This window comes from Homo sapiens, chromosome 15, assembly GCF_000001405.40.
Source record: "Homo sapiens chromosome 15, GRCh38.p14 Primary Assembly".
NCBI lineage: Eukaryota > Metazoa > Chordata > Mammalia > Primates > Hominidae > Homo > Homo sapiens.
The window spans coordinates 93550483-93574412 of NC_000015.10; the positions used below are offsets into that span (position 1 = coordinate 93550483).

General features: G+C 41.0%; 1 long non-coding RNA gene across 4 annotated transcripts in view; it reads left to right on the forward strand.

The window, feature by feature from the left end:
- Window positions 1-2853: 2853 nt before the first annotated feature.
- Window positions 2854-23930, forward strand: part of LOC107983974 (uncharacterized) — a 207567-nt gene continuing 186490 nt past the window's right edge. For all 4 annotated transcript variants that reach the window (XR_001751681.2, XR_001751679.2, XR_007064771.1 and 1 more), the window contains exons 1-3: window positions 2854-3278; window positions 6990-7203; window positions 18956-19038. This is a non-coding gene — a long non-coding RNA (uncharacterized LOC107983974). The remainder of the gene's footprint in view (window positions 3279-6989; window positions 7204-18955; window positions 19039-23930) is intronic.

Here is a 23930-nt window from a genome sequence, read left to right on the forward strand (position 1 = left end):
ACTTATTATTCATTGTGCTTTTCAGTGTAAAGAGCCATGACTTTCTTCACATCAAGGACATTTTTAATGACATTAATTGATTAATATATGCTTTAGAACTCTAACTGCATGGAAACTGAGCTTTCTAGATGAATCCTCCAATATCTAGCACAGTACCTTAATGCATTGGGTGCATTATAAAATCACATTGAATTATAAATGCCCTCAGAAAAGAACACAATGCCTAATTCCTGACGCAGTTCATTTAGGAAGAGTTCATAGATTATGTAGCATGTTGAATACACCTTGAAGACAGAGCCAGATTATGAGAGTTGGAAAAAAGTTTTAAAATGTAAAAGTAGTAGCCAGGGCTAAGGTGTGGCTTTGGGAAGTTTCAGGCAGCAGAAATAGCTGTGCTAGAATAAAGGGAACTTCCGCTGAGAGGTAGTAAAATACATGGCTAGAAAAATAGTCACCAGATTTTGCAGGGCTTTTTTTTACCCCAGATGAAGACAGTTACGTGTTTTATGAAGTGGACAGTGAGAAGCCATAGGAGTGACATCATTCATGTAATGTACATGAATTTTTTTTTTTTTTTGACACGGAGTCTCGCTCTGTTACCCAGGCTGGAGTGCAGTGGTGTGATCTCGGCTCACTGCAATTTCTGCCTCCCGGGTTCATGCCATTCTCCTGCCTCAGCCTCCCAAGTAGCTGGGACTACTGGTGTCCGCCACCACACCCGGCTAATTTTTTTTTTTTTTTTGTATTTTTAGTAGAGACGGGGTTTCACCGTGTTAACCAGGATGGTCTTGATCTCCTGACCTCATGATCCACACGCCTTGGCCTCCCAAATTGCTGGGATTACAGGCGTGAGCCACTGCGGCCAGCCGATGTACATGAATTTTAATATGACTGAGTTGTATGAGTGACTGGATTTGGACGGGAAGGGTTAAGTATAGATTAATTAGAAGGTTCTGCGGTTATCTTGATGGGAGATTACAAGGGTCAGAACCAATGTAATGACATTAATCATGGAAAGGAAGAAATGAATGTGAGAGATGGGAGGAGAGAGAGAGAGATAATGATGTGACTTATGTCAGCACGGGTAGGCTAACAGAAAGAAAAGTCAGAATTTCAAAGAAATAAGGCAGCCAGTAAAGAGGACTTCGGGTTGAAAGATGATTTCAACTTTAGGCATATTTAGATTATGGTTTTCTTTGAACATCTGTCTGGGGAACTCCAATGGCCAGATAGAAAAAACAGGGCATGTGTGTTTATTGTGGCACTGTTCACAATAGCAAAGACTTGGAACCAACCCAAATGCCCATCAATGATAGAATAGATAAAGAAAATGTGGCACATGTACACCATGGAACACTATGCAGCCATAAAAAGGATGAGTTCATGTCCTTTGCAGGGACATGGATGAAGCTGGAAACCATCATTCTCAGCAAAGTAACACAAGAACAGAAAACCAAACACCCCTTGTTCTCACTCATAAGTGGGAGTTGAACAATGAGAATACATGGACACAGGGAGGGGAACATCACACACTGGGGCCTGTTGGGGGTTGGGGGGTTTGGGGAGGGATAGCATTAGAAATGCCTAATGTAGATGATGGGCTGATGGGTGCAGCAAACCACCATGGCACGTGTATACCTATGTAACAAACCTGCACGTTCTGCACATGTGTCCCAGAACTTAAAGTATAAAAAAAAAAAAAAGCAAAGCAAAGCAATAGGCCATTATAAATCAGAAGGTGGAAATGCTTAATAGGTACAAAAAATAGTGAGAAAGAATGAATAAGACCTGGTATTTGATAGTACAACAGGGTGAGAATAGTCAATAATAATTTAATTTTATATTTTTAAACAAATAAAAGTATAATTAGCTTGTTTGTAACACAAAGCATAAATACTTGAGGGAATGGATACCCTGTTCTCCATAATGTGATTATTATGTATTATATTCCTATATCAAAACATCTCATATACCCCATACATATATACACCTATTATGTACCCACAAATATTAAAAATAAAAAATTTTTGAAAAGAAATGAGGAAGAACAACTCTTAATAGCATGTGATATACAGATGCTTTATAAAATATAGTTTTATTTTTGTTTGCTTGGGGGCTTAAAATATATTTGTGAGGTCAAGGTGACACCTTATAGGCAACAGTAATGTAGAGAATATAATTTAGAGCTGACTTGGCATGACACATTTCCAGTGTTGTGAGCATTTAGGAAAAAAGGAGATTAAGGACTTGTTGGGGCTGGTCATGGTGGTCCATGCCTGAAATCCCAGCACTTTGGGAGGCCGAGGTGGGTGGATCACAAAGTCAGGAGATCAAGACCATCCTAGCCAACAGGGTGAAACCCTGTCTCTACTAAAAATACAAAAATTAGCTTGGCATGGTGGTGCACACCTATAGTCCCAGCTACTCGGGAGGCTGAGGCAGGGCAATTGCTTGAACCCAGGAGGCGGAGGTTTCAGTGAGCCAAGATCTCACTGCTACACTCCAGCCTGGGTGACAGAGTGAGACTCTGTTAAAAAAAAAAAAAAAAAAAGGACTTGTTAAAGAGAATTTAAATTGGCCTTTGATGGGTGGAAGGGTTTAGCTGGGTGCAAGCACAGGGAAGTTTGACATTGATGCCATCTTTTAGAATTAAGAGGTACTCATATGTTATGGTCATTATGAGTAAATGTCTTGATAACCAATTAGGCCTGATGAAGGCAAGGAATTCCCATGTATTTCTGGGTTTCTGTACTCTGCATGGCAGTTTGCTGCTGCGTATCTGTCATCCACACTAAATCTGAAGTAGATCTGTGTCTGTTTAGAACTGTAGCTGGCACAGGGTAGTGAATTTAATAACAGATGCAAAATGTAGGACTGACAGGATGTATGCCCCTGTAAACAGGATGGGGCTTAATCCCTTGGAAAGTAATGTAATGCAATTCAATGCAAGATTTCACAGGGACTTTAGGTGATTTTGTTTCCCAGGAAAACCTAACAGAATTATGCAGCTGTACATCCTTGGGATGGGCACCAATAGACCAAAAAAAAAAAAGTATTATTTTTCAAAGAGCAGACTAAATCTCACCTCATTTCCCCCACGATATTTGCTCTCTGCTTTCTAGGAAGAAGAAGCAAAGCACACCATTGATGTGTGTGGGTTTGATGTAGCATCTTCTAAGAGGTCTACAAAGAGACATTGCAAAGCCAGGCCTCTAAATGATTCCTCTGTGAAACATTGGGCCAAACATTCCGTAACCCCTTCCTGCTCTGGTGATCATGTAAGTAGATATTCTGGAAGCACTTGCTCTACAGATGGAGAATTGTCACCATCTGCCAGGACAGCTCCTGCTCATCTTTCATGACTCAGCTCACATGTCATAACTTCAAGGGGCCTTCAGCTCTCTGGCCCTTCCTGCCCCATGAAGGCTCTACCCAGTGCCCCCAACTTTGCTCCTTCGGCTGCATTTGAAGCATTTACCTGTGCTTGTTAATTGTTGGTGGAATTGTCTGTAGACTGTGACCTTGAGTGTGCAGAGTCTTGTAGAGTCATCTCTGGATTCCCCACTCTGAGAACCACGCTTGGCCATTGCAGGCTCTCAACAAAGGCTTGCTGAGGGGATGAATGAATGAATGTATGGATGGCATGAATGTATGGGCTCTGGTGAATTTTTTGCCCACATTTTGCTGGCCAGCGGCTGCATTGGGTCTGCACACTGAACCCTTTGGCTCAAGGTATCAGAGCTGCTCTCCTTCCAGTGAAGACTTGGATGGAAGACTTGAGATGCAGGTTATGGGGATACGTGTCACCTCTATTCCTCATTCAGAAGGATACATACCTCACTGGACCATAAAAAATGAGAACTGAATTATCTGAGTGTTTGAATAAACTTCCACCTTGTTACTCCACTACAGTCTGAGAAAACTTCACTGCACAAATAGAGGCAGTGTACACCCCTCACAGACACTTTCCTTTCTCCTGTTGAGAGGTGAAGCCAGCTGGACTTCTGGGTCGGGTGAGGACTTGAAGAACTTTTTTGTCTTACAAGAGGTTTGTAAAATGCACCAATCAGTGCTCTGTAAAAACGCACCAATCAGCGCCCTGTGGCTAGCTAGCGGTTTGTAAAATGCACCAATCAGTGCCCTGTAAAAACGCAGCAATCAGCACTCTGTGGCTAGCTAGAGGTTTGTAAAATGGACCAATCAGCACTCTGTAAAACAGACCAATCAGCACTCTGTAAAATGGACCAATCAGCAGGACATGGGTGGGGACAAATAAGGGAATAAAAGCTGGCCACCCCAGCCAGCAGCAGCAACAACACGGTCGCGTCCCTTTCCACGGTTTGGAAGCTTTGTTCTTTTGCTCTTTCCAATAAATCTTGCTACCCTTCACTCTTTGGGTCTGTGCCACCTTTGAGAGTTGTAACACTCACTGCGAAGGTCTGCGGCTCCATTCTTGAAGTCAGTGAGACCTTGAACCCACCGGAAGGAACAAACTCCAGACACAGTGTGCGTGAAAAAAATACCATGTGAAACCATAAGATACCATTGGCTCCCTTCTCTAAAGAGACTGAACCCTGCCTTCAATATCAAAGGTTTGGTCCACTGGCAATATCTTTAAATGCAAATTACCCCATTGCTGCTGTTATTTGCTGCTCTTGAGTAATTCCAGTTTTGCTTTCCTGGGAATGAAGTTTAGTATGAGAAATGTGGATGCCCATGAACATTTCTGCTATATCCTTGAGAAAAATGATGGAACAAATTGTTCTCTGTGGGGTTCCATTCAGGAACCTGGAGGCATGGCGTTGGTAGTATTATTATCATTAGCAGCGTGGCAACTTAGTCTGTTTTCAAACTGGCAGCAAAAAAGTAATATTTATCTACTTGGCCATCCGGAGAAGTGTTATGGATTTGCAATTTTGCACTTTAGTGGGGTCATAGAACAGGTACAGAAATGGAAGCTGTTGAAAATTTTCATGCAAGAGGAGAAACACACAAGATCTGTGAATAGATTGAAGCTTTGGTCAAGAAATGGAGGTTGTATGTTTGATTTGAAGGTCTTGAGTTCTCCTCAGGCTAATTGTGGACAGTCTTTTCTTGACGAGCACGAATCTCTCAGCCAGCTGGATTTTATATTATAGAATTAGCCTTTCAAAAAGGACGCTGCATTGTTAGCTTAGTTACTATATAGTAGTGCAATGAGATGATGTATGAGGATGTATTTTGAAAACTGCCAAGTGCTGTGCGTGGGATGGATGACAGTGGCGGTGATGATCATGATGATCATGATGATTTATCAGCAGACATTCTAACCCAGATATATGTTTCCCCAATCAGTCCTGTGGGGAAATGAAGGTCTATAGCCTGACACATCACAGCAAATCAGTCCGCTGAGTCCCAGCAAAGGAGACACAGGTGTGGAATTCCACGTGTAGCTGGGGTTCAGAAGCTCCAGGGGATTGAATGCTAAGAGCTTCGTATCTCTGTAAGAAGTTCTCTGTAAGAAGTCATCTCTGCAAGAAGTCACTCTTGCATTGAAGCCGCTGAGCTAAAGGAAAAGCTTGATTTGCTATTCAGAGAATCTCACATGTCACTTTGATTGTGCAGACACTCCTCCCAGCTTTTATACACCATACCCACATGCAGTCCGTAAACACATATCCTCACATTATACATGTACCCCATGTGCACACATAGACAGCTCCATGCACACACCTCCCATCTGATGTGCATACACCTGCATCTACCACCCTGATAAATATACCCCCTCTGTATTTTACACACAGAGCCCGTATACCCCCATACATGTTCTCTCTCTAATCTCTCTCCATGGCCACGGCCTCCACCCCTTATTCATGTACCCCTTACATCCTTCATAAATACACATCTTGCACATCTGTACACACCCCCACATACCCCACTCTTATGTGCTATTACATGTTCTCCCTCATCCCACATGCATACCACTACATGCAGACCCATAGGATGTACTCAGACACTCATATACATAGTCATGCATGCATGCAGGTGGTCACAGTGTTGTCTGGGGTAGAGAGAGGTACAGTTCTAGAGGGACAAGTTAATCTGTGCATATTTATTACACTTAATCTGTCATTCTTTTCCCCTTTTTCTGCCCTTCCCTCCTGGCTCCCTCCCTGACAATTGTTTGTAGAGCAACTCTTTTCAGTTTTCATAAACATCCTTTGCTTTGCCTAAAATGTAAGTATATGGCCTGAATTACTATCTATTAACCTTTTCAAAAAATTAATGAATTAATTTTTGTTTTATTTTTATAGATTTAGAGAGTACAAGTAGTTTTGCTACATGGATATATTGTATTTTGGTGAAATCTGGGCTTTTAGTGTAACCATCACCTGAATAGTATATATGGTACCCATCAATTTCTCATCTACCACCCCCCTGACACCCTCCCACCTTTCTGAGTCTCCAGTGCCTATCTTTCTACTTTCTAGGTCCATGTGTACACATTATTTAGCTCCCACTTCTAAGTGAGAACATGTGGTATCTGACTTTCTGTTTCTGAGTTATTTCACTGAAGAAAAGGACCTCCGGTTCCATCAATGTTGCTGTAAAAGATACAATTTCATTATTTTTTATGGCTGAGTAGTATTCCAGAGTATATAGGTAGGTAGGTAGGTAGGTAGGTAGATAGATAGATATCACATTTTCTTTATTCAATAATCTGTTGATGAACACTTAGGTTGATTCCAAATCTTTGCTATTGTGAATAGTGCTGTGATAAACATACAAGTACAGGTATCTTTATTATATAGTGATTTCTTTTCCTTTGGGTAGATACCCAGTAGTGGGATTGCTGGATCAAATGGTAGATCTATTTTTAGTTATTTGAGAAATTGTCATACTGTTTTCCACAGAGGTTGTACTAATTTACATTCCTATTTTTCGATGAACTCAGATGAAGAAAGTTTCTTAACAAGAATTCATTTGGGGATATGTTTGTATTTATTCAGGCTCCCATGACCAGATCATTGAACCATTCTAGAGACTTCAAATCCATTGAGATGGGATTAATGCCTTTGCCTACTCAGGCAGAGGACAGACTGACCATTGCAAGTGTTCATCAGCATTTTCCTGCTCTTAGACGGAAAGGCCAAGGCCACCCCAAGCATGCTGAAATTAATGGGCCATCGTCAGGAAGGAGTTCACAACTGTATATGGAGCCAGGTAACCGCTTTTCATTTTCCGTTAGCTGAAAAAACTACTAGTTCAAAGACATTGATGTAAGTGGCACAAGGGGCATACATTCTGCAATTTGTCTTTAGCAGCCCAGCAAGATGAGATTTTAAAAACTTTGTGGCATCTTCTCTGTCATCTAGAAGAGTTCTTTGATTTTTGCACAGCTGTCAAATGTTTAGTTGCTTGCCTTCTTATGCTAACCACATCTGGAGCTCTCTGAGACTACCAAAGGGCCTCCTGCTTCTTTGGTTTCTCCAGTCAAGAGCTTAACCCTGAATTGATTATTGTGGATGCCTGTGGAACCATTGCAAATTTCATATGATGAAGGTGAACTTATACCTCTAGAAGACAGAAAAGCCTTGGAAATAAAGCCATTGACCTCAAACAGGAAATTCTGATGTATTTTCCCAGAAGGTTTAACAAGGAGGAGCACTTTCTCAGAATCACTGCCTCACTAGTTCATGCCCACAGTTAGACTCATTGTGGACTGACCCAGCATTGCCAGACACATAAGGATACCAGAGGTGGAGGGAGAGGAGAAAATGTGACCTATTTACAAGTGGGGCTCAGAAAGGCAAATGGAGACGCTTCAAATGCATAGCCTTTTGCTTCCTGTTTTTTGTTTTTGTCTAATTTTGTACTCTATTCCAGTTTTCCATTGAGCTAGAGAGGCTAATGCATATGATCTAAAAGTGGAGCATATCTAGAAACTCATGCCACTTCAATTGCAGTGGAATGAAAGCTGCATGCAAGGACCTAGGACTGAGATCCACCAATAATATTGCATCACTGGAGTACTTGTAAGAATCAAATCACATTAGGGAGGTTAGAAGGATGAGAACACTCATTGCAGACTGTGAGGAGATAGACAACTGTTCATTATTCTTCATCTGCCAATAGGCTTCCTTAAAATATGAAGGCTTTTTTCTGCAAATTTTATAAACTTTATGGATCTGCAATTAATCCAAGGCTTCTTTGAAGATGGGGGAAATAAATTTGTCTTTACAACATCTCCAAGAAGAGACCAACCGTCCAGTAGATGATTAGAAAATCAGAAATTAATTGGTTGAACATTTTTATTCTCCTTGGGCATTTGAGCCCAGAAAAGGGAGGCAAAGAGACCCTCAGAGTGAGCAAAATGAGAAATGAGAGGGAAGGGAGAGACAGAGGAGAGGTCTGAGAAAAGGACAAGGGTTGTGAGCCAGAAGCTTCCTCTGTGCTAAGTCATTTAATTCTTGCTGTCACCTTGTGAGGAGTGTCACTCAGCTGTCCTCAAGTCCTGTACACTTTAATATCCCAAAGTGGGCTTGGCAGCTCATCTGCGCAGAGATTCCAGCATTCTCTTTAATACCACCACGGATCTGGGGTGTTTGTTTTGGTGGTGATAGTGATGGGTTATTCTGTCAACCACGCAAAGTAGAAGTGCCTGCAGTTAGGTTTTTGTATTAAGTAGCAAGGGTTTTTTGGGGGGATTTGGTTTTTCTGCAGTTGTATATGAATAGTCCATTTTACAAAAAAGAGGCTCAATAAATCTAAATAACCTTCTCAGTTAATTATGATACTAATTACGAACACAGACCTAAAATACAGAACTGGAATTGAAACTCAGGGCTGTGGGCCTCAAGTCCTCTTATGTTCTGATTTGCCGCATGGTCTGTAGGAAGAGACCAGCTTTGGGCCAATTGATACCCTGGGACAGTGCTCCCTAAGCTTCACGAGCAAAAGATTGTTGCTTGTGCAATCCTGCCCTCAGCAAGTGGACATTTGGGATACATTAGGGATGGATTTCAATGGCTTCCTGCTTCCTAGAGGAGAAATGATGAGCAGAAGCCTTAGCTCCATGCAAAATATCAGCTCCTTCTGACATTGCTGGTTCCCTGTCTCCCTACTCTGGGTTTGCAATAGATAAGGAAAGGGCGATGGTACTCAGAGGAACTTCCAATCGGCAACATGCCTTAAATCTTAGTGGCCTTGTGGCATTCATGACCAAACATCGTCACAGGGAAACACTCATTTCAATAACTGTAAAGAAGTGTGCCTGAGGAATACTGAGCTCAAAACACATTTGAAAAAGGAATTTGAGAAGGGAAAGCAATGAAAGGAAGACAGTTTTTTAATTTTTATTTGTTTTAGTATTTTCAAGACTCTGATATTTAGTACTAATAGTAAATAATTAAAAAAAAGTTTAAAGTTCTTGAGGGCACAGAACAAAAGCTTTTGAGCTGGGATTAAATTCTAGCTGCTTTTATTAAAAGTTTTTGTAGGAATCCACAGGGACGCTATTGAGACCATGTCTCATCATTCACTGATTAGTAGATTTCTTGAGCTGTGAAAATGATTTCTTCTCATTGATCTGATACACAGGGATGGAACGCTCAAAAGAACAGGGCACGTGAGTGACACTGCAAAGCACCTTGGAACTCACACCTAATATACTCTTTGATGAACAAGACTATAATAAGATTGAGACAGATGCGTTTTTAAGACCCAAACGTAGGCTGGGGGTGGTAGCTCATGCCTATAATCCCAGTACTTTGGAAGGCCACAGCGGGCAGATTGCTTGAGCCCAGGAGTTCAAGACCAGCCTGGGCAACTGGTGAGACCTTGTCTTTACAGAAATATAAACATTAGCTCAGCGTAGTGGCACATGAATGTAGTCTATAGTCTTAGCTAATGGGGAGGTCGAGGTGGAATGATCACTTGAGTCCAGAAGGTGGAGGCTGCAGTGAGCTGTGATTGTAATACCGCACTCCAGCCTGTCTAAAAAAAGAAAAAAGAAAAAAAAAGATCCTAACATAATGAGTAGTTTTTTTGTTTTATTTTTATATAGAGCATTTTAATTGATTTTTATCCTCCTATAACCTTAATACTCTTACCTATTGATATGGTTCGGCTGTGTCCCCACCCAAATTTCATCTTGAATTGTAGCTCCCATAATTCCCACATGTCGTGGGAGGGACCCAGTGGGAGGTAATTGAATCATGGGGGCAGGTTTTTCCTGTGCTATTCTTGTGATAGAGAATAAGTCTCATGAGATCCACTGGCTTTATAAAGGGCAGTTCCCATGGACACGCTCTCTTGCCTGCCACCATGTAAGACATGCCTTCGCTCTTCCTTCTCCTTCTACCATGACTGTGAGGGCTCCCCAGCCACATGGAACTGTGAGTCCATTAAACCTCTTTCCTTTATAAATTACCCATTCTTGGGTATGCCTTTATTAATAGCATGAGAATAGATTAATACACTTATTTTGTAATATTTTTAATTCTCTAGGAATGCAAAGAATTTAAACTTTGGTGATCAATACATAGTTGTAAATATTATGGAAAAGGAAAAAGAGGCTGGGTGTGATAGCTCACACCTGTAATCTCAGCACTTTGGGAGGCCTAAGTGGGCAGGTCACTTGAGGTCAGGAGTTTGAGACCAGCCTAGTCAACATGGTGAAACCCCATCTCTACTAAAAATACAAAAATTAGCTGGGTGTGGTGGTGGGCAGATGTAGTCCCAGCTTCTTGGGAGGCTGAGGCAGGAGAATCCCTTGAACCTGGGAGGCGGAGGTTGCAGTGAGCCGAGATTGTGCTACTGCACTCCAGCCTGGGTGACAGAGTGAGACTCTGTCAAAAAAAAAAAAAAAAAAAATAGGAAAAGGGTAGGGTTGTGGAATCAAACAGCCAAGGATATGGACATTACAAACATGGAATTGCAATCACACAATTGTTCTGTTTAATTTCTTAACTAACTTGAACTTTTGTTTTCTCAATTGTGAGATCAGGATGACAACACCTCTCTAGTAGGATTGTTTTGAGGATTCAAATTGAGAGCTTATATAAAAAGAGTCTTGAATGCTGCCTAGCATGTAGTAAGTATTAAAATGGTCATTTTCTTCCCCCTTTCCTACACTGAAGTGCTTATAATTACGATCACTGCCAATCTGTTTTTCAACATAGCATTTGGAGAACATCAGAGGCAACCAGATGAGTATTTAATGAAATTAACTGATCATCTCATTTATTTATTCAATTAATATTTAATTTTAGATATGATAAATGGAATGAGCTAGCATAAAACATATTTACTTGCTAGGGTAATTTCTTCCTGGAACTTAAGTGCCTTTGACTTTCAGTCAAAGAACTCTCTTTTGAGAGTCAACTAAATCAAACTTATGGAGGAAAAAACTATCAACATAAGATTCTGTTACTTGGGGGGTTGATGTGGGAGGATGCCTTGAGTCTAGGAGGCTGAAGCTGCATTGAACTGTGATCTTACCACTGCACCCCAGCCTGGCCAACAAAGTGAGACCCTGTCTCAAAAAAAAAAAAAAAAGATTCTGTTGTCAGTTGGCTGATATATTTTATTTCTACCTCCAGTGAACATATATTTATAAACATAAATTGAACACATATTGCCTATCTCATATATACATGTGCATATATATATACACACACACACACACACACACACACACATAGCATTTGTTGCATATATGATGCAAGGTGCTTATCCCAGCAGGAAAGGTTTGCAGGCTGATCTTTGAAACTACATTGATAAGAGGTAGAGTGAACATACATTTTAGTTTTTCTCTTTTAGGTTTAATTTATATCTGCTGACTTGATGCAATTATTAATAAAACTTGCTTGTACCCTCCAAAGAGTTCCAGGAGATGGTAAGAAGTGTTCGGATGATACAGTACATGGTCATCCTAGTAACAGGTATCTCCTCCCAGGAATAGGGGCTTTGGCTCCTTTTGAAGGATCCTGGGAAGTAGTTGCCTTGACCATTTCTTGCTCAGGGTCGGGGTTTCATTGTGAAGGCCTCTGGTGCAGCAACAGCTGGGCTATCCAAGGGGTTGCTATGATGAATGGAAACATGCAGGGCAGCGAAGGCTGGAGGGCCAGATAATGGATGTCCAGTTTTACAGGATGTACTCATGTTAACAGTTCCATTGCTAACTAGTTAAAGATCAGCCTTATGAAAAATGACTTCCCACTTCCAGCCTCCAAGGAACATAAAACTGTGCAAAGACAGATGAGATGATGCTTTGAGTAATCCTTAATGAAACTGATTTGAGAAATAAAACCATTTGTCTCTCCCATTCGACTGCCTCTTGTTATGTAAAATCGCTGTGTAATCATCTTAAACCAGAATGGACTGGAGAGACTGAGGGACAGAAACTTCTGAGTCTTATGTTTCTGTCATCCACAGCTGCTCATCAATAAGAAAGAAGCAAATGTTGCAACAAGCACTTTCTCATGACAATACTGAACATTCACGCATAACTTGAGAAAAATCTTTCCACGGATTTGTGAGCACTTGTGCAATGCGTTTGGCCCAGTGATTCGCCTTGATCTAAAAAGTCAGGAGGCAAGTCTTTGGCAGAAACCTGTTGTTACCCTGAGTAAAGTAACTCTGGAGCTCAGCTCATTTCCAACTGTTTACTGTTCAGATTCTTGGTGGTCTTAATGCTTGGCACCTATGCTGTTGAATTTGCCAGTTTCACAATTCAATCGGTTATTAACACAGCCTAAACAACTGAAGATTTTAAACGTGGCCTGCTAGAGAAAACCCTGGATAAGGAGTCTGGCAATATTATTTTCTAGTTCTCTTTGTGACTTGGAAAATTCACTTCACTTCCTTACGCCCCACTTTAATCACCTGGAAACAAGGCTCACGTGGCTCACAGAAGTGCTTTGATCCAGAACACCAGCCGTTCCTTCTGCATGCCCTGTTCCTCCCTGCATGCCTGACTGTACTCCTGGCCTGTCCTCCCTGCACCACGCTTTCTACAAAAATCAATAGCATTTCGAGAGGCAGCACAGGTGCCAGTTTTGCCATACGAAAATTCCTGTTTTTCTCCCAGGTTCTTTGAAGGAAATGGTTTGTCTCCTTCAAGCTTGTTAACGTGTTATCTCTATTCTTTCATGGCAATATCCATGCTACTGCTTTGCACATTTTATTATTGTTCTCAAGAGCATACTAGCTGTGGGCTGGCTCTATTGCACCTTCATCTACCTGGTTGCCAGAGAAAGAAGCTTGCAAGTGTTTTTTTCCTGTCCATTTTTAGAGCCACGTTACAAGTGTTCTATGTGATTCATTTCACTTGCATCTGGTTTTCTTTCTGCTGTCCTTCCTTTTCCTCTGCCCTTAACTTTCCTCCCAAATCCCCGATCACAGTGCAATTTGCATAATGATTCCTAATTCCTTAGTTTTCTCTTGGACCCGTCTGTACCTTTCCAGCTCTATTGCTACTGACTGGTTTGTTCAGGCTCTTCTAATCATTATGGCTGGTGCAATTTTCTTCTAAGAGGCTTTTCCAGGCCTCCTGCTAACAATGATCTATAATGCCTCTGTAGATATTTTTATTTATTTATTTTTATTATTATTATTTTTTTGAAACAGGGTCTCACTCTGTCACCCAGGCTAGAGTGCAGTGGCACCGTCACAGCTCACTGTGGCCTCTAACTCCTGGACAAAAGCGATCCTCCCATCTCAGTCTCCTGCGTAGTGGAACTATAGGCACATGCCGCCACACCTGGCTTGTTATTTTTAGGAGAGACAAAATTTTGCCATGTTGCCTAGGCTGGTCTTGAACTCCTGAGCTCAAGCAATCCTCCTGCCTTAGCCTCCCAAAGTGCTAGGATGACAGGCGTGAGCCACCGTGTCCAGCCTGCAGTGATTTTTCTTAAAGCCCTTTCTTAAATCTCATCAGCTTGCTCCTGTTTAAAGTCTATCAGGGACCCTTTAGTGCCTGTCTGCAGGGCTGGCTCCAAAGGCGTGTAACATGAGCACTTGTATAGGACCCGTGGGCTTAGAAGGGCCCCATGCCTGGTTTATCGTTCTGTAGTCACTGTTTTGCGCTGAGATCTGCAGATTATGGAGTCAGTCCTGTATTTGGTGTAGCATCTGAGTCACATAAAGAGCCTTTACAACCATGTGGCCACCTCCCCTCATGCCCTAGTCACTGTTCTCTGATCCTAAGCCCTATGCTTTCCTGTTCCTTCCCATGTAGCTCTCCCCCAGTTGTGCCATTTGGTCTAGTTGGTGTTGTTCATGCAACAACAATTCAGTCCATGTTTCCTGTGTGCCACAGATTGTCACTGGGTAGTGGAAATACAGAGATGAGGGCAGAAACTTGATTTCACAGAAAAAACCAACTATATACACATAACTCCAATACAATATGGGAAATGCAATAAAAGAGAAATAACTGATAAGCCAGTTACACAAACATACACAATGTATGGCTTCTGTTTGTTTGATGTTTACCAAAATAGAATTATTGTATCTTACGGGTACCCATCTTTTACAGTCTTTCTACCGACTTTTGTAGGTTTTTCTCATTGTTTGCTCTTTAAAAACGACACACATCTTTATCTGCTTCTTTGTTTTCTTACTCAACAATTCCTTGTGCAAATTTCTCCTAAACCAATGATTAAAACAAAGTTTGGGATTATTTTAAGAATCTTCTTTTAATCATTTGTTTCTCTCATTAGAACAGCAAGCTTAAAGTTCATTTTCATTCGACTACTTTAGAAGGGAACATTAAATAGTAGCTGTTTTCCAACTTGAGCCTTTTGTGTATTAAAATTAAACATTCAGTTCTACCCTTGTACTTATTCTTTCAGTTAAGCAAACTAGCATATTATTTGGAAATTTTGTTATAAATGCTGGCTTTCCTTTACAATTTTTTTCTCAAAACATCTGTTTAGGGAGGAAACATGTAAATCGTAAGATAATTCCACAAATGATGTTCAGATGAAAACTTTTCCATCTCGGCCTAATTTTAGAGCCCTGCTACAAATATTCTGTTTAATTAATTTCACTTGCGTTTGGTTTCCTTTCTCCTGTCCTTATTTTCCTCTGCCCAGGGGCAGTCAGATTTTTCCTAATGTTTCCTCTCCTTCCTCTGTGTACCATAGGTCACTGTAGACTCCATGGTTCTCTCTCTGTGTTTGCCTGGATCTGCCTGCAAAAGTGCACTGCCCTCTCCTTTCCTCCTTAGCTAGGATGGCAGTTGGCAAATTGAGCCTGACATTTTCCTAGAGATGTGCAGAGGATGGCAGTTTTAATTTCATTTAAATTTTAGGAATTAAAAGTCCTTATTTTTCCCAGTCTGAGTTACTAATATCTTGGGTAAAACCTTATTTCTACTGGGTGCCTGGGGATGTATCAGGGGGCAGGATGAATCAGACAGCAGAATCTGTTTGAGGTTGAAAACAAAGCAGAGACTGAAAAGCCCGGAGACATTCTGGACCCTTATTTTCTGTTGCTCTTTCTTCTTCTGTCTGCGTGTTGAATGCCTTTATCCCCATCCCATCCTGCACCATGCCACAGATACACACATTCTAGTGGGAAGCGATTCTTTCAGATTCTTCAGACCTTCTCTCTAACCTCACTCCTCAACGCAGTTGTCTGGGATCATGTAGGCAAGAAAAATACTCGATGCTGTATTCTCTCCAAGACCTTCCTTTGTAGCACTATCCCAAACTGTTATTGCTGATTTATTTGAGAGAGTTCTTGGTTAATGTCTGTCTCTCTACTGGGCTGCATGCTTCTAGAAGACAGAGCCTACCATAGAGACCAAAATACATAAGGTCTCAGGAAATCAGTATTGCCCGACAGAAACTTCTGCAGCGATGGGCATGTTCTGTATTTGTGCTGTCCATTATCATAGCCATGGGCGACAAGTGGCTGTTGAGTATTCAAAATATGGTCAGTATGACTGAAGAATACAATTTTAAATTCTACTTAATTTTAATCCATTTAAATTTACATAGCCTCATGTTACTAGTGGCTTCCATATTGGGCAGGGCAGACTGAACTAGGTTAGTAGATGTGTGGATGGAGGAAATCCAAGGAAGTAAGTACCTGGGTATGGGATTAAAGGAGAGTCAAAGTCATCACTGGGACTATTTTTGCATTTTTTTTATTCTCAACATACACCACCACCCCTCCCCGCCCCTCCGTCCCCCAACACACACACCAGCTTGCTCCACTGGCTGGATTGGGTTGAATTCAAGAGGTGGAAATTTGTAGCCTCCCTTATTGGCTCTGATGTCTTTGCTCTCAACCAGAGAAAACACTATTGCCGTTGTACAGGGTGTGGTCATTCCCAGCCCTGTTTCACCCTTACACGTGATCCTGTCTTCCTCTGGGTGCAATGAGGTCGTCATCAGTCTAAGTATGTTGGAGTGGTCCCCTGAGTCAACAGGAAGTGGCAAATCCTTGCTGAGTGAGTTCCCTGAACTGGGAGGATATCCTGAACATGCTATAACCTGAGAAAGCACATGTTTATCTTGCAGCATAAAAGCCCTCTGTTGGCCATACAGTGCTTGTTAATCCAGGGCTCTCTGTAAGCCTGACTCAGTAGGTGGTAAGTAAAGAAATGAATTTACTGTCCCTGTTCCTGTAACTCATGCTGACTGTGCACATGCCTCAACTGGAGGCTGGTTTTTGCTTTTCCAAGGGGCATGTTTCTAAGGAGACATTTATCTGTGTGTATCAAAGAATCATTTGCCTTGGATGACATCACTGGTCACAGCCCATTCTGCTCAGTTCCTTATTTAAAGGAGCCAAGTCTGAAAGGCCTGGCTTAGAAAGTTTCTACCTTCAATAGTTGTGTCAACGGGAGAGCCTCAGCATGCTGTTCTGAATGGAGGGCCAGGTGCAACGTGTACATGCAGACCCAGAAGATAAAAGTTGGGCCTACAAATGCACTCCTTCTGCAGATGAGATGCCAGTCTCACCAGGCCACCTGGGAGCGAAAGGGCTTTCTGACCTTCATGAAAACCCAACACAAATATCTCAAGAACTTTTTCAAAATATCTATTTTCCTGCTGCTCTCCTGCTGGTTCAATCTCGGGAGCTTAAGTAGCTGTGATTGTCCCTGGGAAATCTGCTTTTTAGTATAACTTATTTGGATGGAAAAAAAGCCATCATCTATTTAAAGTTTACATGCACTTGCCCCTTTGATCCAGCAATTCTACTTCTAATAGTTATAGAAATACTTGCATATTTAAGAATAGATATATATGGTTATTCATTAGTGTGAAAAATTTGAACCAAGAAAAATGCCATTAATAAATCAGGATGCAATAAATCAAGGTGTGCAGATGGAAATGGCAGAAGTTGCCTGCTCACTTCCGTTTCCCATTCTACTTTTTTTTATTTTCTAATCTTAATTTCTTGAGTATTCATAATAAAATATGGCTTTATTCAAACAAAGATTGATAAGCATCGTGGTGAATAATATCAATAATATTTGAAATATTATCAAATTTATTTTTCATTTATTGATGTAAAGGCTCTGATATGGTTTGGCTCTGTGTCCTCACCCAAATCTCATCTTGAATTGTAATCCCCACATGTCGAGAGAGAGAGGTGATTGGATCAAGGAGGTGGCTTCCCCTCTGCTGTCCTTGCGATGGTGAGTTCTCATGAGATTTGATGGTTTTATAAGGGGCTTTCCCCAATTTGCTGTCACTTCTCTCTCCTGCCATCATGTGAAGAAAGTCCTTGCTTCCCCTTCGCCTTAACTATGATTGTAAAGTTTCCTCAGGCCTCCCAAGCCATGTGGAACTGTGAGTCAATTAAACCTCTTTCCTTTATAAATGACCCAGTTTTGGGTAGTATCTTAACAGCAGTGTGAAAACAGACTAATACAGGGTTTAAGCTGGGGACCGGGTTAAAGGAATGACCATCACTAATGCTAACCAAGGCAGGGTTTAATGAGTGAGGCAAGATTATTGAGGCCTCTCAAGAAAAATACAATATATTTTCTGTACCAGCAGACCGGACTGAGAAAAGGGGACTGGAAGAATCTGTAACAGACCACATTTTAAACTTGAATTTGACTTAGTAATGAGAACTAATTATGAAGAATGAGCTTGTTTGAACTGGAAAGGGCTAATACTTTAAAGTCTTGAGTAAGGAGGGTTTCATTTTGGTTTTGATTTTGTCCTCAGAAAAACTGGGGATCCAGGGCTAATTGAGTTCACTTTTTAAAAAATAATGTGACATTTCGGCATACTAAGTGTCTACTGCCATGGGTGACAGCAAGGGCAGAGAGGACATCTATGCAGTGGCCACCCTGGATTGCCACCAGATTCTGCCTTTTCACTTTCTCAGCCCAGGGCACCTCCAGGCAGTGAAGTCACTGGTAACAAGACAGCAGGAACATGAGCACACAGATAGGGGCAGATAAGGGATTCTTTATACACCTGTGGCCATGGAACCAGAGGAAGAAAGAGCAGGTCTGCTCTTGGTCATGTGCAATCTCGATTCAATAATTTTATACAAAACATAGATTCTTTCCGTCATGAGCTCATTCTTTGCGTGGCATAATTTCCGGACTCCTCCGAGGTAGACGAGCCATGTGACAAATGTCTCTACAGTGCTGATTCTTGCATTTTCATGCAATTCACACCTTTTATAATATTACCATCAAAAGGTGAGGGTAGGAGTGTCTGGGCCACTGGGAAATCTTCAGGCTACTTGATCAAAACCCCATTGTGTGCTAGGTGCCCCTTCCGCCACCAGGAGTTGAAATTATGCCAATTGTTCCTTATGTCTGCAGCTTTGTCTGTCTCTTGTGATCTGTACATTTGCCTACATTTTATTTCTATTAACATATTTTGTTACACTTCCTCCATCTTTTTCAACAGATGCCCTCTTCTGAACAATCCTGCCAACCTAATATTGTACATTTGCATTGTAACTAAGATTTTGACTCCCTTACTTTCAGAACAAATGGAGAGACCTCGTTCAGTCGATGGATGGTAGCAACAAGGAAGAAAGCAAATGGAGAAATGACATCTCATGACCCAGGTAATTTATGGGATTACATGATATAAGAATTAATGCTGGAAAGAACCTTGCAGATTACCTGCTCCAACTCTCACATTTTCATTTGAATAAATTAAGAATCTTAAATGACCTTCCCAATATCACATAGGTAGAGTTGAAACTCAAGTGAAACCAACAGAACTCATTTCTAGAAAGTTCAAATAAGATGTTCACAGCAATCTTTGGAATCAACAATAAAATAAGCCTCTGAACTGAAATTTGAAATGAAGTCAGGGCATTGGGCTTCTTTGCAGACTATTAGGAATGCAAAATACTAAAATTAATTTAGGCAAAATCATAGCAGCATTTTAATTTTACAAGCTGATTTATCCAAGCATTTTGGTGTAAATCCTCATTTAGTATTCATGACAACTTTATGAAGCCTGAATTATTATTCTGATTTTGCAGTTTAATTATTCTAGGTGCAGAGAGGTTAACTGGCTTTTGCATTAACAGGGCGGTAAATGTTAAAATAAGGGCTCAAATACAAGTCACATCACTCTGAAGGCAGCGCCAGCCAGCGCCCAAACAGTAAAGGCACTTCTAATTCATATCAGAGATATATCTCCTAAAGTTTCCAGAAGAATCGAATCACTGACCATCTTCCTGCTTTGGTGAGGCTTATTTCAGGGTTCACTGGCCCTCATTATTGGTGTGATCCCAGTTATTAAAGGGACCAGAGAGCTATCATGACACAGCATGCTTCCCCCAACAGTTATACTTGAAGTGTCAACAATGATAAAGGAAGCTAAGCATAGGGTGATACTATATTAGTGTTTTTTTTTTAAATAGCCCCTCTTTCTGGCATCTTTATTTATAATAATTAAATTTGAATTGGATTTTGACTGCTCATTCAGCCAAAATTACGGAATTGATTATGCATTTGAAAAGGGAAGGCATAAATAATGCAAAAATTATTCTGTAATTATAGGCAATTGACAAGGATTCAGGGGATGTGTTTAAACCTCTTTACCCAGCATCCAGAAGCAGCTGACTGCCCCTTTTTTTCTCCTTTTAGGGTATTTCTATAATCTTTTTTCCCATGTTAGAATGATTTAATTTTGCATGCATTTTTGCTCATGATGTTTCCGGGTTGATGCCAACCATGTATGCCAGAGACAAAAAGAAACGTGCTTCTTTGCTGGAGTTGTATAGGTTGTTCCTCAAAATGTTGGATTCCTGTAGAATTGGAAACTTAACGGTGATTTGTTGTGGTTTATGGTTTTACGGGCACAGAGCCAGAAGAGACCCTGGAGGCCATCCAGCGGTACCATTTTATGTCGTAGTGGATGGAACGAAGACTCCAAGAGATTAATTGAGATAGCCTGGAGTTTCCTGGCAATTTCCTTGAGAAATAATGATACTTAGTGGCAGAAGTGAGTCCAAAATACATTTGTGCAGGTCCAAGTCATGCAGTTTTCCCCACCATACCCCACTGCCTCTGGTTACAAGTTTTCATGTGCCCTCCATTCCTGACATGCTGTAATATCTGGGGCAGGTCCATCCTTCTCTGCCTGTCTCTCCTTATCTATAGATCTGATGTATGACTTCTCTTTGTAAGGGTGTCACAAATTTTCTGTCAAGATTATACTTCTGTACGCTTATTTTTAAAATGGAACTTTTCTATTTCAGCTCCTCTTGCAAATAAAGTAGACCCTTGAACAATGTGTTTGAACTGCACAGGCCATTTATAAACAGATGTTTTTCAATCAATGGAGCCGGCCCTTTGTATCTGGGAGTTTTGCATCGGCAACCAACAGCAGATTATATAGTAGTATTCCCTCAGTGCACAACCTGCGGATATGAAGGGCTGACTTTTTGTGATACGTGGGTTCTGTGGAGCCAGCTCTGAAGCTTGAGTATGTGTGGGTTTTTGTATCTGCAGAGGGTCCTGAAATCAATCCCCTACAGACACCGAGCAACTGTAGTTATTGTTTACAGGGATAAACTTGGCAATCATTCCTTAAAATCGATTACTGACTGATGTGTTTTTCTCACTTCTGGAGCGCCTACCATATGGTACTGGAGTTGGGGATTTTCTTTCTCTCTAACTGCACCACGTCCACACATGGGAGAAACTCATGGAACATCGGTTGAATCTTCCCAGCATTGCCTGTATCTGCATGGTGCAGACAAACTGAATTGCTGCACATTGCCCTCATTCATTTCTAAATGATGGTCGTAGCAAACATTATTAGGTTCTGACAGTGCTAGGCTCAAGGTAAGCAGGTGATATTTATCATCTTATTTAAAGAAGCTCACAACCCTGTGAGATAAGTACTGTCCCTAGTTCCTTTAAACAGATGAAGAAACTGAAGCTGAAAGTAGTTAGCCCGGATCTCCTGGGCTGAGTGGTGGAACCAGGATTTGAACAGGCTGATTTTCACTCACTGTGGTATTCTGCGTCTGATATAAAGTCAGGGTATCCCGGTAAGGGCAAGGAATGCCTTGGTATCTAAATCTTATGCTTCGATTCCTTCTTCGACATTCCCACCAAGTAGCCGTGTACTCTCTGAACATCTTGCGGTTTAATTTATGCAGTTCCATCTTTACCTGTTAGAAGGGCTGTCTCTATGTTAAGGCCAAACCTGCCTCCTGGTCCTTCATAAATATTGCCCCTGCCATCTGGAGTCATGGAGAAGAATCTTCTGAGTATTCTCCCATAGCACAGATTTCAGAAACTCCGAGACTTCTGCTTTCCTTGATTGATGTCCAGTTAGTGCATCTAGTCTTTGCACGTTGGAATTTTAAGCTCCTTCGTAAACCCGCGCATTTGCATCTGATGCCCTCGGTTTGTCTGTGTGCCTCATAATGACAGCATTGACACCCACCTCCCACTCAGTTGGGTTCGGACCCCTTCCAAAAGTTAACCATGTTCTCTTTGTCATAGCACATAGCTCCTGTTAATTCAACTACTAGCTCCTATGAATTCAACTACTAGCTCCTGTTAATTCAACTACTAGTTGTGCTCAGGGAGGTCAGAGTCATTGGTTTATGCAGGAGAAGAAGAATAGGGAGCTCCTTGTCTGAGGCAGGTGTTGCCTGTGTTTCCAGGTTCCCTTTATGTCTCAACTGGTGTGTCTGCTGCCCCTCTCCAGCCCTTTCCTGGCCCTCCAATGCCACCCTGTTTCTCCTCTGGCTCTGGGTGGTCCTTGCCTACTGGCTGCTTGTCTGGCTTTGCCCTGTGTTCCTTGGGTTACTTAATATTTTGACATGCTCCCATCCCAGTGTTTTCTTTTTGATAATGATAGTGCTTGAGGGATTTTCAGAAATACCCAGAGGAACTACTTTCCTCCCTTCCTCCCTCCCTCCCTCCCTCTCTTTCTTTCTTTGTGGAGTGGAGAAAGGAGCAAGAACATGTAGAAAAATATCCCCAGGTAATTATGATATATAACATTTTATATCATTTCTTTATTTATACTCATTGTCTGTTACTTGAAGAAAGAAAGTATTAAGCAATGAAACGTCTGGAAGTCTCTTAATAATATCTGGTACAATATTCCCTATATTCTTCTTTTTTTTTTTTGAGACAAAGTCTCGCTCTGTCACCCAGGCTGGAGTGCAGTGGCGCAATCTCAGCTCACTGCAACATCCACCTCCTGGGTTCAAGCGATTCTTGGGCCTCTTCCTCCCGAGTAGTTGGGATTACAGGTGTGTGCCATCATGCCCAACTAATTTTTGTATTTTTAGCAGAGGTGAGGTTTCTCCATGTTGGCCAGGCTGGTCTCCAATTCCTGACCTCAGGTGATCCACCTGCCTTGGTCTCCCAAAATGCTGGGATTACAGGTGTGAACCACCGTGCCTGGCCAATATTCCTATATTCTTTTCATGAAAACAAACAAAACAATATTTAAGAGATTCGATGCTATTTCAAAAATGTAAAACTTCACTGAACTCTAGGCTAATGAATGAGGGAATGTCATAAAAGCATTGTCAATATTTTAAAATCTTTGATGTGATTATCTCACTTTAGGAGTTATAAATTTTCTTTTTAGCATTTTGCTCACAATTATAGTATGCTGCCAACATATAATTGAGTTTCTTTGGTGAGGTCATATTTTTATGCCAAACTTCACATCCAGTACTTATTAGACCTCCTCATTCAATGTTAGTTATTCCTTTTTTCATAATTCAAGTAGTACTCTCTTTTAAAAATGAATCATATTATTTCATTAAATATCCGGCACAGAAACATTAAACAATACCACATTTATATATGTTTTTAGAGTAGTAATAGTAAAAATAATAATAAGAAGAAACTATTAGGTTTTCTCACTAATGAAACTATCACTGATCAATTCTTCCTAAAATTTGCTTAATTCCCAAATTTGAGGATAGTCTCTCAGACTCAGTATAAATCTTTATCATAAAGTAAGAACATTTCATAATTTCCCAGTAGATAATTATTAAAATTCTTCAGATTTCTTCCCTAACTCTCTTAGCTCCCTTTTGTAGACAACTGAGGAGTTTATTTATCTTGCCTTGCTGATAAATGCATTAAATGGAGAACCTGACTTTTTGCTCCAGTGCACCACTCACCTCTCTCGTGATCCTTTTCTTGCATACAGCTGCAGTGAAAGCGAGATAGGCCATCCAGGAAACCATGCAAAGACTCCCCAACTTGTCTCTGAGAAGTAGAGATCTGCACTCAACTTGAATCTGAACAAGTTTCTGTTATCTTAAATTTGTATGCTAATGCTTATTTGACAACTCTTATACGGTGTTAAATACATTTTACTTAAGGAAATATTTTATTATAAGTTACAGCAATTTAACACTGTTTCTGTTTACTGAAAGAGATTGGTATTATTTCTTCTTTAAATATTTGGTAGAATTCACCAGTAAAACAAGTTGGGCCAGATTCCTTGTTTTTA